Source organism: Homo sapiens, chromosome 2 (assembly GCF_000001405.40).
Source record: "Homo sapiens chromosome 2, GRCh38.p14 Primary Assembly".
Taxonomy (NCBI): domain Eukaryota; kingdom Metazoa; phylum Chordata; class Mammalia; order Primates; family Hominidae; genus Homo; species Homo sapiens.
This window is the reverse complement of record NC_000002.12, coordinates 237,472,847-237,489,618: the sequence shown is the minus strand read 5'-3', so window position 1 is coordinate 237,489,618 and position 16,772 is coordinate 237,472,847. Positions and strand designations below refer to the sequence as shown.

At 51.5% G+C, this 16,772-nt stretch overlaps 1 protein-coding gene and 1 long non-coding RNA gene across 16 annotated transcripts in view, besides 3 other annotated features; one reads left to right on the top strand and one right to left on the bottom strand.

Annotated features, from left to right (window-relative positions):
* MLPH (melanophilin) overlaps window positions 1–3,209 on the bottom strand; it is a 68,913-nt gene extending 65,704 nt beyond the window's left edge. For 14 of the 15 annotated variants that reach the window (NR_104019.2, XM_017004893.2, NM_024101.7 and 11 more), the window contains exon 1: window positions 2,182–2,368. The gene's annotated coding sequence lies outside the window, so the exon portion shown is untranslated. Of the gene's footprint in view, window positions 1–2,181; window positions 2,369–2,880 lie in introns of those variants that run through there. The other variant, NM_001281474.2, reaches the window with a different exon arrangement.
* On the top strand, window positions 2,471–3,919 carry LOC105373957 (uncharacterized). The gene is made up of 2 exons (XR_001739962.2): window positions 2,471–2,808; window positions 2,898–3,919. It is a non-coding gene; the product is annotated as an uncharacterized LOC105373957 (long non-coding RNA).
* Window positions 2,533–3,501: an enhancer, noted in NCBI's record as "H3K4me1 hESC enhancer chr2:238394761-238395729 (GRCh37/hg19 assembly coordinates)". NCBI's record gives its function as "activates a minimal SCP1, AML or CMV promoter by ChIP-STARR-seq in primed H9 embryonic stem cells {active_cell/tissue: H9 hESC(primed)}" and the evidence as "EXISTENCE:reporter gene assay evidence [ECO:0000049][PMID:30033119]".
* Window positions 13,923–14,002: a silencer, noted in NCBI's record as "silent region_12478". NCBI's record gives its function as "represses an Ori minimal core promoter by ATAC-STARR-seq in GM12878 lymphoblastoid cells {active_cell/tissue: GM12878}" and the evidence as "EXISTENCE:reporter gene assay evidence [ECO:0000049][PMID:35858748]".
* Window positions 14,023–14,432: a silencer, noted in NCBI's record as "silent region_12477". NCBI's record gives its function as "represses an Ori minimal core promoter by ATAC-STARR-seq in GM12878 lymphoblastoid cells {active_cell/tissue: GM12878}" and the evidence as "EXISTENCE:reporter gene assay evidence [ECO:0000049][PMID:35858748]".

Genomic DNA, 16,772 nt, shown 5'->3' with positions numbered 1-16,772 from the left:
CTGATAAAGGGGAGGTGGCAGAGATGACAACTGTAGTGCCCTCTGCCTTAATCCTTTGTGGCTGTTTCCCGAATGCTGCCGTCCAGGTCAGCCTGTATGGTTATTTCTATAGGTGGGGCCCATCAGTAGGCACTGACCCCCAGCTCTCATCAGTGGCTAAATGAGCACATTTCCACCTAGAAGGGCCACTCCCTTCCCTACAAGTGAACCAGGCACATCTGTGCTGTAGCCACAAGGGTCTGGAATGGCCCCAGCAGCAACAGCACTGGGAGGGTGTTCTGCCCCTCAGCCACCTGCCCACCAACTTGCCATCCCCTCTGCTCTCCCAGTTCTCTGGGGAGTTGGTGGTAAACCTCATTTATAAATGGACATGAGTTCTGCATTTACACCTAAAGCCTCAGTGCTAGTCTCTACCGCAAGGATGGGTCCCAGGTGAGGCTGTAGGAGGATGGTGCTGAGAGGTGGGAGCTGGGTTCCCATCCCAGTTCAGGCACAGCCAGCCCAGCCACCTGGGAAAGATGCCCCTCCTCTCAGGGTCTTAGTTTCCCCATCTGTACCATGGACAATGGCTGAGCTCCAAGACCTCTCTGGCCCTCTCCAGCCCTGGATGATGCCAGGATGTTGAAATTAAGAGGGGGAGTGATGGTGTGGGGGTAGTGGGGAGGAGTAGGGGCAAAGACTGTTCCTCCAGAGGTTGCTTCTGAAAAGAACAAGACAGTTGGCCCTAGAAGGCTGCCCCAACCACTGAGACTGGGGCTTATTTGAGCCGTTATTGCATTGTGGTTGAAAGGCACCAATTTCACTTTTCCCATTAGCCCACAGGGCTCTGGGACACTTCCACCACCTCCAGCCCCTCACTGGGCACACATTCAGCTGGTTTGTTTTAATTTTTTTCTGAGTCACTCATGTCGTACTCAGTAAGACCCACTGACTCCCCATGTGTGTGCCGGGCACCATCCCATGTTCTCTAAATGTGTCCTCAGTCAATCCTCTGAGGCACCTGCTACTGTTCTTAGAGCCTGAGTGAGGGCCAGGAGCACAGTGACCCATGCCTGGTACTTAGATACTAAGGAGCACGGTCCTGGGCAGGGAGGGGGCTGGGCCCAGGAAGGCTGAGGCCTTACTGAGGTCAGCTGAATCCCGCCAATGAGCAGGTGGAGGGATGTGTTTCCTAGGACAGATGCAGGCCAGCTGGAGGGATGGGTTTCCTAGGACAGATGCAGGCCAGCTGGAGGGATGGGTTTCCTAGGACAGATGCAGGACAGCTGAACCCGGGGTGTCAATGTCACTGCTCAGCAACGCGGTCTGCAAGTCCAGAAGCCTTTTCCTGAGACTTCACAGCCCCCAGCAATGCTGGCCTTTGCACCTATTGGGAGCCTTGCTCTCCCCCGACTGTCATTTCACTCCCTCAGAAAGAAATAAGTGAAGAAGATACCAGTCACACCATCTAAAAAAGGACCTGTCCCAAGTTCCGTGTGGAAGTGAGGTGGAGTTTCCAGTGCCAGTTAATGTCAGTGGGACGCGGTGTCTAAGCCCGGGGAAGGGATTTACAAGTGAGATTCCGTTCCTGTAGGGACTTGGGGCTAGTAGGGACGAAGCCCACAGGTGCTCACAGCTCACAGACCCTTCCCACATCTCTACTTCCCACACCTCCCTGGTGGGCCCAGGGAGTCTGTCTGCAAACAAAAGGTGATTCCAATAAAACAGACTTTTAGACGCCCAGAGGAAGCCAGGTGCCTCCTCCCAGGCCAAGATCATCTGGCCTCTTCCTCACCCCAAGACCAGCTCCTGGGCTGGGAGGAAACCTTTCCCCTGGGGCCAGCCTACTTGGCATCAGCAGCCTTGGCCCAGTCTGCATGGCAGACTCGCAATGGAGGCAATGGAGCTTCTGATTAAAACCAACCGTTTTGCCCAAAATGGGGATCCCCCGCCATCCCACTCCCACCCGTGCCTGCACCCAGAGCAGTCTGCTCAAAGAATCCAGGTGAAGCCTGGGGGACTAAGGCTGGGTGGCTGGGAACGCGCTGTCCTCACCAGCCTGGACCGAGGCCGGGAGGCTGGCGGCTGGGGGCGTTTTCACACCAGTGGGTCTGCACGCGACACCGCGCACCCCCCAAAGCCTAAGCCCCGAGTCCTGGGCGCCACCCTGGCCCCGCTGTTCCCTCTTCTCAGTGCACTCACCGGACCCTCTCCGGGGGACGCTCAGTCCCTGGTCCAGCACCTGGGAGAGAAAGGAGGCGACGAAGCAGGGCGTCAGGCCAGGGCGTCAGGTCAGGGCGCCGGGGCAAGGCTGGATAATGGGGGCAAGCAGGGCGCGGGGCGCAGAGCGGCTGGTTAGCGCCTGGCTCTCCGGGGCAGGCGGGCAACTGGCCACGTCCCGGCGCCTCCCGCCCGAACCACGTGGGCTGCGCCCCGCTCCGCCCAGCTCCGGGAGCGCGGACACCTCTGGATGCCCTGCCAGGCAGAGGGCGGAACGGAACGGACACCTGGGGCGCCCGCGCGGGAAGCGCCAGTGCGGGGGAGAGCCCCGGATACTCGACCCCCAAGCCAGTTTGGGGAGAAAGACGGCGGCGGGGAGGGGAAAGTTGAGCACACAGCTGCGATTCCCGTGAGTTGCGGCGACTTTGCATAGGTGACATCGCGCCGCGGTCCTGCCTTGGGCACGGTGGGACCCGCTTGCTGAGCGCGCTCTAGAGCGCGCGGCACATCGTCGAAATTTCTAACTCTGCAGGGAAAGCGCTATGTACTTCGGCTTTACAAATGGGGAAACTGAGGCTCAGAAACGCGCCCTACCAAAGCCACCGACCAGTAAGTGGCAACGCCAAATAATAAATAGGACTTTAAGCCCAGGGCTTTCTGCTGCAGAGAGCGTACCCTCACCCCTTCGATTCTGCCAGGCATCAGGACCAGGAGGGTCCCGCAGCCGCGGGCAGCCCTGCTGCGGGGAGGAGACCGAGGCCTTGCCCGCCAAGAAAAAGTCAAGATCCGCGGGCAAATGGGGCAGATGTGGAAGCCAGGACGCGCGGCGCGGTGGTTCCAGGACCGAGGACGCGCTGCGGGGAACGCCTGGGAGCTCCGCGCCGCTGCGCTCTTCTCCTGGACTCTAGGGCCGGCCTTTGGGTGCTCAGCGGGGCCCGCAAGCTCAGAGGGTCCCAAGGCGAGCCGCCGTCTCCAGTCCGCCCGGCCTGCCTGTCCTTCCGAATTCCAATGGACATTAGGGAATTGCCCTCCTCCCTCATCCTCCAAGACTGGGCGCTTCAGAATTTTCTCTCCCTCCCCCTCCCTCTCCCTTGTCACTTAAAAACTCACATTCTGTTCTCCAGGAACCGCTTTTGCAATTCAGTTTTCCTATCTGCAAAATGATAGGAATAAAGCCATTAGGTGAATGAATAGATACTAGTATCTCCATTTAACAGAAGAGGAATCAAAACCTTATAGGATTGTTGTGATATCACATTAGATTATTTGTAAACAGCTTTCAAAAGGCTGCAAAAGAACAAAAAAGAATGTTGTTGCCTGCTGAGCCCAGGGGAACACTGTAGGTGAATCAGGGTATTTCAGGCCCCTGGGCTGCTTTGAGACAGGTGCTCTTACCAAACACCATCAATTGTTGAGTGTGAACCCTGGAATAGAGTGAAGCTTACACTGAAGCCAGTATTTCCACATCCCATATGATCTGGTGCTTATGTTTTTCATTTCCTTACCTCCTTGCCATATACTTTACTGTTACTTGTTAAGATTAATAAATCCCTTAAGAGTTGATGTAGGGACTTAAGTTCCTTAAGGGCAGAAGTTTTTAAAAATGTTTTTAATACTTTAGTGCTTATTTATTTGAAGTAGTGGTTTTAAAAAATATACAACTGACACACGCTGATATATAAGGTATATAGTAAAGAATATAAGGAGTATAAAATGAAAAGCCAAATTCTCTCTTATTCCATTACTAACCTCCATGACCAGAAAGCAATCATTATTAATGGTGTCTTCTATATTCTTTCTGAATGGTGTGTGTGTGTGTGAGGTTAAGCATGTGGGCTCAAACCAACTGCAAGAGTCGGAATTCCAACTAGGAGTGTGGCCCACAAGCTGTGTCATCTTGGACCTGTTACTGAATCTTCTACTGACTTTTTTCTCTCTTCTCCATGATGAGAATAGTAATGGGAGTTACACATAAGGGTGTTGTGAATCAATATCCCTGCAGCTTGGGTGAGACACCATGTGGTGAGTGCTTGGTAAATATTAATTACTATTCCTGTTGATCTACTTCATCCTTTTTTGGTTGCAGAGTATCCAATGTGTGAGTTACCATAATTACTTACCAGTCTTCTATTGATGGACAGTTAATTTTTGATTTTTTGCTATTTAAATGATTCTGCCATAAATATCATCCTAGATAATTCTTATTGACACCTATCATACATAGGATGACACATGAATATCATTGTACATACATACTGATATATCTGTAGACTAAAAGCCTATAGATTTGGATTTTCTGAGTCAAAGGATGTATACAATTTTAAGAGAAAATTCTAGAATTATAAACTTTTTTTTTTTTTTTTAATGGAGATGGAATCTTGCTCTGTTGCCAGGCTGGAGTGCAGTGGCTTGATCTCGGCTTACTGCAACGTCTGCCTCCCGGGTTCAAGCAATTCTCCTGCCTCAGCCTCCCCAGTAGCTGGAACTACAGACGCACACCACCACTAATTTTTGTATTTTTAGTAGAGACGGGGTTTCACCATGTTGGCCGGGATGGTCTTGATCTCTTGACCTCGTGATCCACCCTCCTCGGCCTCCCAAAGTGCTGGGATTATAGGTGTGAGCCACTGCACCCGGCCCTGGAATTATAAACATTTAAAATGATTAAACAATCCCCAAATTACAGAAAGTTTCAAGTATAACACAAAGAACCCTACCTTCCCCTAGCCATTTGTGATGGAGTTTCTGACATGAGGGTTTAGTGTATTTTATACAAACAAGGACAACCTTCTATTAAACTGCAATCCAACCATCAACATCTGTACATGATATGTTGCTATCATCTAATCATCGGAGTCCTTTCAAATGTTGCCAGTTGTCTCCGTAATTTTTTGTTGCCAAACGATCCAGTTTAGAATCTCATGTTCTGTTTAGTTGTCATTTCTAAGTCTCCTTCAAATCAGATCAGTTCCTCTGTCTTTGACTTTCATGGCTTTGCTATTTAAATATTAAGCCACTTATTTTTTAGGCTGTCCCTAAATTTGGGTTGGTCTGCTGTTTCCCATGATTATACTCAGGTTTTGCATGGTTGGGAGAATCATCTTGCAGAAGTGAGGCCGGGTCCTCTCCCTGTGTCCTGTCAGCTGGTGCATGGCTGCAGTATGTCTCCTTACTGCTGCTGGGATCCCCAGACTAAGGTGCTGTCTTCCAGCCTTCTCCATGGGCAAGTTACTCCCTTCCCCCCTGTAATTAATATGTATTTTTGGAGGAGGGGTGTACACATTTAAAATTTCATAAGGCCAGGCGCGGTGGCTCACGCCTGTAATCCCAGCATTTTGGGCCAGGGCGGGCGGATCACTTGAGGTCAGGAGTTCGAGACCAGCCTGGCCAACATGGCGAAATCCTGTCTCTACTAAAAATACAAAAATTAGTTGGGTGTGGTGGTGCGCGCCAGTAGTCCCAGCTACTCCGGGGGCTGAGGCAGGAGAATCGCTTGAGCCAGGGAGGCAGAGGTTGCAGTGAGCCGAGATTGTGCCACTGCACTCCAGCCTGGGTGACAGAGCAAGACTCTGTCTCAAAAAAAAAAAACTAAATAAATAAAGAATAAAATTTAATAAACAATGTCAAATGGTAGCAGAGAATAGATTTTATCTTTGTATTCCTGCCTCCCCAGCTTCTTCTCAGGGCTCCCCAGTGTGCCCGTCGCTGGTACCCTCTACCTCCCTGACGTTTTACCCTGCCCTGAGACCTACCCTTCCTTGTTCACTTTCTAAAGGAGGAAACTGATGCCCAGAGAGTCAGATGGTGTTTACCCAAGATCACACAATGAGTCAGAGGCAGCCGATCTCTTCAGCCCTGAGCCTCACAAGCCACACTGTTAAAGTCTGGGTTGGTGGGTGGACACCAGAGGACAGCAGAGTCCCCTCCCTACTTCCTTGTCGTAATAGTGGCCGTCTGGAGACTCAGCCTTTGCTGGGACTTAGTGGCTGGCATGAGAGGGAGGAAAGGATGGTTCACTTGGCCATGCCAGCAGGAAGCTCACCACCAAAGATGGGCTTCAGAGAAGCACCCTTTAATTTCACTGCCTGGGCATACCCCAGTTCCAAGGATAACTGGTCAGGCAAGTCCCACTGAGGGGTGGCCTTGGGCTTAGCCTCCTCTCTGCACGTGGATAGGGAACCTTAGGGGAGAGAAGGTTTCTGGCTCACCAAGGAGCCTCACAGAGTCTGGACGTGCCTGCTTCCTTTGCAATGGCAGAGTCCAGGATTAGTGCTGAAAAGGCCTGCAGTTCCCATCCACTGACCCTCTCAGGTGCTCCAGCTCTCTGGCAGGCAGTAGTTAAAACCCGTCCCCCTCAGTCTCTCTGTCTAAACCCTCTGGGCCAATATGGCATTAGGCTAACAAGGGTTCTGGATTTTTGAGATAACCATCCAGGAAACAGAACACATGCAAAATATTGCCCCAAATCTTAGCCATATCCAGGAAACTACTTGTAAATTACAAGAAAATATGTTTTCATCAGACACTGAATCCTTTTTTTTTTCTTCCAATAAACCTGGAAAATGGAGGGGGGACCCCATTTTTGGAAGCATTCTGGCTTTGCCGTTGTTCAGCTGGGTGGGGGATCGTGGGTTATGCAAGAGTGCCCTAGGCCTTTAAAGAGCTGTCACCTGACTCTGCTCCTGCCAGTTCGTCAGCACACAGCCTCATGTGACTGCCCTCCAAGCAGCTGAACACACACGCAGCTCCCTGGGCTCACATTGGTCTACTTGCACAGCCCCACCCTGGCTGCCTCCGCTTGCTCTCTGGGCTCCAGCTCTTTTCTGAATGACCCTGCAACCCAACCTCCCTTCATCTGTCCAAGTCCTGCTCCCTGTTCGGATCACCACTCAACTGTCCTTCCCTCAGAAATCAGGTCCTGGCCAAGCAGCCCTGCCCACTGTCGGCTTCCCTGGGGTTCCTGCATGTTCTTGCAGATCAGGCCCATCATTTATCTCCCGTGCTCGTGTGATTATCGGGTTAGTGTCTGTTGCTCCCCTGCTCTGAGCTCTGGGAGGACAGGGACTGCGATGCTCACTCTGATGTCCTGCTGCCTTCCACGGTGCTTGGTGCATAGTAGGCTCTCAACAAATATGTGTTGAATAAATATTGTTCAATAACCATAATATCATATTTTGATGCTGGCCTTCATCTTAACTTTGACTGAAGGGCATTTTCCAAACAGAGCTAGCTCTGCCCTCCACCATCCAGGTGGCCTGAGCTCACAGCACTTCCCTGGAAGAGCAGGGTCTCTTGGGAAATGACTTGATGGGATGACAGAATGCGGAGCTGGGAGAGGGAGGGTTGAATTGTCCTCACAGGGATCTCTGCTGGCTTGTGGGCCAACATTCTCCTCTTGCTGTTGCCGTTCATTGGCTCTTACTATGTTTTCAGATGGTGGCCCCCAACTCAGCCTCTTTCTCTTTCTTGTGTTGGTCCAAGATCACCCTTTGTTTTCTCTCCTAGGATGCGTGTGCTACAGAGCAAGAAGTAATCCCCTTTTGCTCAAAGCTTAGCAGAATTCCATTTAGGATTCCTAAATTTCTACCCCACATGTGTGACTGCTTGAAAGTGTAGGACTCTCACACTTATGTTGGCAATGTGCTTTCCCTCATCTGCACACATAGAGAACTACATCTTGATGAGTGCTTGAAGGGAGCTGTAATGAACCAGAGAGGCCAGCCAAGAGGAGTGAAAAATCTGAACAATGAAGTTCTTGAATCTAAAACCATCAGAAATCTCAGCCTTCTGGGGGTTCTGGAAGCTTCAGCTCATGTTGGGGCATGGGCCAATGAGCAGTTCTCTTTACCTAAATTACCTTAATTAGGAGCTTTAACCATCAGGGATTCAGGAATTAGGCAGAAATGGTCCAAATTGAAGGGAATGAGTTCAGGCAATAAAATTTCCAGACCCACTTCTGGAAATCTTGGTCATGTGGTTATGAAGGAAGACAGCAGGAAGGGAACCAGTCCTCACTGAAGGCTACGGTATGCCCAGCAAGTGTGGTCTGGGAGCCTGGCATGCACATTAGCAATTGGGTTGGGCATCTGAACTCCCCAGTGTCAACTGGGTTGTGCAGATAAGGAAGCTGAGGCACTGGTGCAAGGTCACACAGTCAGAGAGGGGAGACCAGAGGCAAACCCAGGTCTAAGGGGCTCTGAGCCTGGATTTCCACAGCGCCTGGGGCAGGCAACAGCCACAGCAGGGGTGACTGGTTCATGGGGCCTGGCACAGCCAGAAGCAGGAAAGCTGTGAAGAGCAGATGTAGAAATTCAAAACCAGAGCCCCCCTCATGGGCCCATGCTGGGGAAAACAGTGGCAAGCAGCCCTGTTAGGCCCTGAGTGCATCGTGCCCTACAGCAGGTGGTGGGCATCCCTACATCAGGTGGTGGGCATCCCTACAGCAGGTGGTGGGCATCCCTACAGCAGGTGGTGGGCATCCCTACAGCAGGTGGTGGGCATCCCTATACCAGGTGGTGGGCATCCCTACAGCAGGTGTTGGGCATCACCCCATTCCCAAGTCACAATGGTCGAATTAGGCATTACAGGAACAATTCCTTTTGCTTCTTCTCCACTTCCATAATTCATAGCGATGGCCTAATTTCAGTTTCAACACACAAGCCACACTTCATATCTCACGTTAAACTCTTGTATGAATGTTGCAGAATATTTGCAGTAACGCTAATGTCCTCCCCACAGTGAAAGCTGTTACAAGATCTCTCGCTCGAGCTGCTACCGCCTGCACCTCTCAGGTTGGTCTGATGTCAGCACAGGGCTTGGCTGAAACCACCCCAGAGCCAGCAGCAGGAATCCAGCAGTATCACCGCCCCTAGGCCTCCCCCTCACTCATGGCCAGATTCAAAGCCCATTACCAACTAGTAATATACCTAGAGCCAATTCCTAACCCGTGAATCCTCACCTTCACCTTCCCATTCCCCATACTCACCTCAGTCTTGCCCTTCTGTGAACTACAGTTTTCCAAGCTTGCCTCCACCTGAACTCCAAACCCAATTAATTTCCAGCCCTATCTTCCATGGCTTTCTGACCCCACAAATCCAAATGAGTCCACCTATTCCTGGGAGCACGTGTGCCTTCAGTTCTGGGTGGAAATGCAATGTCAGGCTGTGTTTTGTGCCTTCTCATTTTCTCCTACAGTTATCCAAGGTTAACCCTCAAGACAGGCTCAAATCCTACCTGCTCAGGTTGCTGGGCTAGGTCACTGGTTTTGAAGCAGGGTTTGTAAACATATTTCAGGTTCTGAAAATACTTGGTTAGAATTTTCAGGTATTTAAAATTATTTAAAAACTGTCATAACAACTAAACACATACTTGGGAAACGGAATGACAGGCTCAGGTCTATCTCCCCAGGGCATACTGTGAGAGCCAGAAGGCATCTGTGGCGGTGTTTAAAGAAATCCGCATCTCCTGCCAACTTAGTGCAGACTGTGCTGAAAATCAGAGCCAGGATTTGATTGTAAGGGTGCCAAGAGGAAGGTTTCCAGATGAAATGTAGGCTTTCCAGTTAAATTTGAATTTCAGATAAACACGGAATAACTTTTAGTATAAGTATGTTCTAAATATTGCATGGGGCATACTTGCTTACACTAAAATATTATTTGTTGCTTATCTCAAATTCAAATTTAACTAAGCGTTTTGTATTGACATCCTGCAAATCTATACCAGAAATACAAAGGGAACACCCTGAATATGTTTTCTGTGCTTAAGTCAGGGCACTGATAGGGTGGTAGAATCATGTAACCTGGGAGGAGGACATTTGGATAGATGAGTCTAAGCTTGAACACCTAGATTCCCAAGAACCCTCTTGGGAATAGCCCTTTCCCTTTTCCCAAGGATGCTGATACCTGGATACTGTGCAGAGTCTTCACCTGAGATGGTTGACTTCCAATGTGATGCTTGTCCTTCTCAAGATCTGTCTCCATCTCTTCTTATTTCCTCTACACAAATAACTAGGGCCAGGTCCCAGTATAGCCCAAGTGGGAAAATAAAGTTTCTTTTCTAGGAATAAACAGCATCTAGTGAACATAACTGCAAGTCTTGGCTAATATATGTCACCAAGCGACAGAGAGAAATGTGTCTGAATAAGCCACGGAGATATTGAATTCAGTTTGTTGATTTGGAGGAACTTGTCTATGTCTTAGAATTTGACTTCTTGGCAAGGATACTTGGAAATCATTCAAATACACTGCTGAGATGGCACTGCGAAGCTTGGGCATGATGTAAATGAGGTGTAGATGTTATGCTTGCCTTGGCAGAGTATTGAGTAGGAACTTAGAAGGCTTAGGGAGGTAGAAATGTGAGAATGGATTTATTATGTAAGATCAAAGACTCTATCATTTGACTGTGTTTCCTGGGAGGGCCCAGAGGACACTTTCTTCACCAAAGCAATAAGAAATATACCAGTGTGGGGAGTGTCTGCATCTTTTGGCAACTCAATACTGGCTGTTCTCTGAAGCTGGTATTAACAGTAGGAAGTTACTCCATGGAACTACACTCTGTAGTGTCATGGGGGTTGCTGGGATTCTGAAATAGAAGAGTTCAGATAGAGATCCTCAACTATCAGAGGTAGGGTGGACAGAATTTCTGTAATGGTAAAAAATCCAGAAAAGCAACCAAACATAAGTGTCTATGGGATGGCTAGTAGACTATGGTATTCCTTGGGGCTCAAGAAATTAGCAGACAATTAGGGTACTGGTTGATTGTGCACACAGATAATTCAAGGACTGGTGAACGGAAGGCTGATATCAGATGCTGCAATGAAAAATCACAATCCCTCATTCAGTTTCCATATCTAAACCAGTTTTTATAGACCTAGACCCCATCGACTAAAGGAGAAGCAAGGTCCCTTCGAGGAAGGACTTTACAGTGTCACTACAATATATACCATAAATATTATACATTGTTTTCCCCAAAGGGCCCATGGTTATTTACCAGGATAACTGTACATAGGGGAAAGGGAAACAGTCATACTTTGGAGGGTGATTGGATACAGATTCTGAGCTGACATTAGTCAGGGGAGCCATCACGCTGTCATCAGAAAAGATCTGAAACAGCTTTTACGTGGGAAGGACAACAGTACACCTTCTCTCTATTGTCTGTCCCAGGGCTATATCAAATCTCTGATTACTGTCACAATATAATCCTCAGGAACCTTAAGCACATTGGTGCAACATATGGTGATATTTTCCAGATTAGAACTGGTGAAAAGGAGAGTAGAAAGATGCTGAATACTCTGGTAAGACATATGTGCATTGGGAGGCCAATCTTATGATGTTCCAGGGATATAAAACTTAGGCTAGGTTCTTAGGGGACTAAAGATGTAGAGTCTGCTGGGACATACCTTCAAAAGTATAGGGCAAATTATTCTCTTTGCAGGCGCTATGACAAGGACAGAGACATAGCACTAGGTGGAACTTTGGATGTTGGAGGCAGCACATGGCTCACTTGGGAATACTGCTGCAATCCATTTGGGAAGTGATTTGGAAGGCTGGCAGGTTTGAGTGACGCTTAGAGCGTGAGAAAATTCTGTAGCAGGTCCAGGTATTAATGCAAGCTTCTCTAGTTGTTCAGGGAACTGGAAGAGAATAAGGTTGAAAGACTGGAGACAGAGAGGTATGTGCAGGGATCTTGGGAATAGGCGCCATATGTGAATCTTCTATCTCATGTCAATGCTTACCAGAGGCCACCTAGTACAAAAAGGACACTGAATGAATGGGTATACTGGGTCATTTACCCTATGGAGTCAGACTGTGTCCTTGGTCACCTCAATGTTCATGCCAGGGGACCAGGAGGGAGGCCATATGGTCCGACTACGTGGGCTCTATCTCACCAAGCCTGATCTAGCTACTTCTGTTGCTGGATATCTGACTGATGCTGAGCTCTTTACATGGCACCATCCCCTGAGAAGACCAAACAATCCCTTGGAGCTGGCGTAGATTTGGGGTATTTAGTGGGAGTTCGTGAGAGGTAGGTTGGAATGTGCTATTGAAAAGGGTTTAGGATTTTGGTTCTGAAACAAAATGAGTAGACTCACTTTTCCCTACTCCTCCCTTCTAAAAACTAAATACCATGGAAATTCTTTAACAGACAATGATAAAAGGACTCTGAAAGTTGGGTAGAAGAAGGTAGACTGGCCAGAGACCTCAGGACTGGAGGAAAGATAATATGGTGGGTTCCTTAGACTTTTCTTTTTATCTCCCATGTAGCCTAGACTGGGTGTCAGAGATGTCTGCAACCAGTATCTACAACAGGAGATATTCTTTAATGTTTTGTAATAATCTTTTATTATGTTTGAACATAATAACCAAATGACCAGAATATAATACAAACCCACTTGTCATACCAAGAACCAGAAAAAAACCACCCGAGTGAGAAAAGACAATAAATAGATGTTGATACTTTGATGCATCAGATGGTAGAATTATCTGGTAAGAATTTTAAAGCAGTTATTATAAATACGCTTCATAAATTAACATCAGTGCTTCAAAACCAATGCCATAAAAATGCCTCAACAATCAATGTCAAGTCATTGATTTACAGAACATTAATACTTAGAATCAGGAGACTGGGATGTCACACCCACTAGCTGTGTGACCTTGGGCAAGATTTCCAGCGTTACTGGGCACTGATTTCTCTGTCTCCAGAGTGGAGGTTAGGTAGACCATGCAACAGCACACTGGCAGGTCCCGTTAGTTGTCTACTCAATAACCATGTCCCTCGTATGCTAACAGAACCCTAACTCCAGGTAGAGGAGCAAGGACTTCAACTAAAAATAGGCATTTTCCAGCCTCCCTTGCAGTGAAGATAACCTGCATGGACACTTCTGGACAATCGAAGTGCAAGAGGTTCCTGTCCCTTCCAGAATAAACAGGAAACCCTTACTAGGAGAAAGCCCTTTACCTCCTGTCCTTTCTCCCTTCTTCCTGCCTGGATCTTGAATCTGAGATCTGCAGCTACAGCAAGTATCTGGCAACCAGGAGGAGACCAGCAATAGGATGGTGAGGATTGGGGATGGAAAGAAAGCCCAGTGTCCTGACGCATCGCTGAGCTGTGCTCCCAGGCTGACAGGCGACTTCTGAACTCCTTGTTATGGGAGAAAAACACACCTGCACATCTAGGCAACTGTCGGTTGCGTTTCCTGAGCTTGCAGCTGAATGCATTCCTAACTGATTGAATGAGGAAGATGAGGAGGAGGGTGCCAGCTACAATCCTTTCAATGCCAGGTGCTGTTCAAGCGAGTTTACGGGTTCAACCACATTTAATCCTCACAGCTACTAAATGAGGCAGATGCCAGTACGGTCCCCACTTCAGAGAGGACTGAAGGGAGGCATGGGTCCTTGTCTGAGAGGCAGGCGCAGTGAGTCAGGGGTGGAGTAGGAGTGTGTCCACAGCACTTCCGAGTGCCGGCGTATTCACAAATGGCTCATAGGTTCTGTTGTTGTGGTTACCTTAGAGGATTTGTGTGCACGCGCGTGTTTGTGTGTCAACACCTCTAGGATGGTGCTCATGGCATGGGAATTCCTTTCCTCGCTTCCTGCATCCTTCCCCTGGGTCTACTACCTTTTGCCAGGGACTGGGGACATAGGAAAGGATAAAGATCGAGGGCATCCTCCAAGGCTGATCCCGACATCCCCGGGACTGACGTACGGCCTCCAGACCGATGTCAGTATCCTCTCTGCCAAGAAAAGGGGTCCCCGGGCAGGCAGCGCGGACCCCCTCGGGGCCCCGCCGGCTTCGGGCTGTTTCCCGCCGTGACTCCTCCGCTCCGGGAGGGGGCGACAGAGGCCGACGGCTGCAGCCGGGCGCGCCGCCAAAGCTCCTGCTTGTAGGGCGGGCCGGGGTCCGGGGTCTCGGGGTCCTGGGAGGCGGGGCGGTCGGTCCGCTGGGGGCGGTGAAACCGAGCTCGGCTCCTGCCCGGCGTGGCCTCCGTTTCCCAGGCTTCTGAGCTCAGGGCCCCGGCTGGGCTTCGGGAGGGTCCTCCCCGCGCCGCCCCGGCCCTTCCGTCCGCCCCCCGCGGCCCGGCCCCGCCTCGGAGCCATTCTGGGCGCGGCCTGGGCGGCCCTGGGGTGATTACTGCCCCGGCCGCAGTTCCGCGCGCCCCCGCGTCTGCCGTCCCCGGACCCCGAGACCCGAGATGTGCGCCCCCGGCCCTCCAGCCCTTCCCGGGGACCCCGGGGCCTCGGAGCCCCGCGCCCACGCATTGTTTCCTTGGAAATGGAGCCCCCCAGCCCCACGTCATGTTGCCGGGAGCCCCTCGTTACAGCAAGCGGCTGCCGGGAATCAGTGGCCACTAGGACCTTTACCCCGAACGCTACGCAGCCGTGGGGCCGCTCTCCTCCCCGCCCTTTTGTGGGATTCAAAGTCAAACCACACTAAGCCATAAATAAGTGGTTGTGGGAATCCAGCGCTGGGCCCCTCCATCCAACAGACTTTATCCACAAATTACTTGAATGCCTTTTTGTGTGTTTAGTATCAAATTAAAAAAATTCTCCACTCTTAATGCCCCTGCCTGGCGTATCGGCGGCCCAAGCCTCTGCGTGGTCAGCCCCTGGGGAATGACTTTGCAGGGGGGCCTGCATCGCATTGCACCATTGGGCTTTCTGCTCCCTGAGTTCTGCTAGGGGAGTCCCTGGGGTCGGGGAGCCGGAAGTGCTGGGATTTCCCACCATCCTCAAATACAAGGTCAAGATCCCTGGACCGTTGCCCATCCAAGCCCCAGGAACTCCAGGCCTGCAGAGGCCTCCAGGGACCCACCCACAGCCGCCTGGGGCTCTCCAGCCAGGGTTGCGCCCCATCCCCAACCCCAACCCTAACCTTAGCAAGCACTACTGCTTGGGAAGGCCAAGCTCCCAGTTCGTCCCTTTCTGGCCTGAGCTACCCCTGGAAGCCTGGCCCCTGCCCCGCTCTGGGGCCAAGCTGAAGGGGCATCATTTTTGGCCACAGTTGCAGGGCAGAGGCTGGGGTCAGCCAGTGGGTGGACCAGGTGGGCCGGGAGTGCCAGGGGAAGCTGCCAGGCTTTGTTTCTAGCTGAGAGTAGGGGGGTGGATGAGCTGGATCTGGGCCTGCCGTTTCCAAGGAAACAGTGGGAAACTGGGTGTCTCTGTCTGTGGCTTCCTCATGTCATGGGGTGTGTGGTTTCTGGAGCCGCCTGACAGCCTGACCAACTTGGGGCCACTGTGGCTGTGGGAACATATATCCTGAGTTCCAAGCCATTTAGTGAGGAAGCTGCAGAGAGGTTGGGAGGCGCTTCTTCTCACCAACCGTTCTCACCCAGCACCTCCTACCCGAGGGCACCTCCTACCCTAGGGCTTCCCTGGTGCTGCTGCCTTACCTGGGTCTAAGGTCTGAGGTCTAGACGCTCAGCCGTCAGCCCCGGTGGCCTGGGTTTTGCCCCATCTGGTCTGCCTGGTGCCCTGCCTCCACCAACGGGACCCTGAAGCGAGGGCATTGGGCTGTGAGACTTGGTAGTTGAAGGGCTCCAGCCTGGGAGCTAAGCCTAAACTCTCTCCTCCTGGCTTCCAGTGGTTCCCCTGCATGTCCTCCTCCTGCCAGCCAGGGTCTGGGCAGGAGAGAGGTGGCAGAGTTGCTGCCGCGGGGACATCTGACAAAGGTGTGGGCAGAGTTAGGAAACAGTAAGGCAGGTGACGTCCCCGGGGAGGGGCCGCAGTAAGAGCTGTTGCCGCCTCGGGCCGGAGAGAGGCACATGAGGGCTCGGTGTCTGGAATGTGGAGTGTGGAGCCTTGAGAGAGGTGCCCCCAGAGCTGTGGGGTCCGGGCAGCTGCAGCCACTGCAGGCGGGGAGGGAGATGGGGTCAATGCCAGGCTTCTCTCTTCCTGCTCCCCAGGCTCCTGCTGGGCCCCTCTTGGCTGAGCCCATTGGGAAGCTGGTGCCAAAGGGGCAGTTGGTGCAGGCCCTAGTGGCTGGTGTTCGGGATAGAGCAGGGTGGCAAAGGCGGGCAAGGCATCGGGAGGGGCAGACAAGTGTCCTGCTGGGGGCTGCCACCACACTGCCCGGGTGGGTTTCTGAGTGTGCAGGAGCCCTCTCTGGCCCGGGCTGCTGGGCTTTTGGGGCATCGTAAGTGCATCTTAAGGAGCAGCAGCCGGTGGTGTGAGGCTCTACCGCACCCCAGGCCATCTGACCACCTGGGCCACGTGGGCTTCTGGGCTGGCCATCTGGGAGGCAAAGGGAGTCTGGGAAGCCTCCAAGGAGGAAGAAGTGCTTGATCCCTTTGCCTTCCACACCGAGGGTGCCCAGCCCGGTGGTGTTCCCAGTGGTAGGCCCCGCGCCCAGGACCACGTCTGCATGTGGTTGCCTCAGCAAATGCTGTTGTGTAAGCGATGGCCTGGACCTCCCTGCTAGTTCTAAGAGAAAGGCCCATCTTCAGGTGTGGGGGAGGGGACCTGGGGCTCCTCAGGGGATGGGGTGCAGCACCCAAGGCCCTGCGAGTTGGGGGCCCTGCCCTGGCCCCAGGTGAAGCCCAGCCTCTGTCCCAGGCCCAGACAACAATCTCCTGCCCC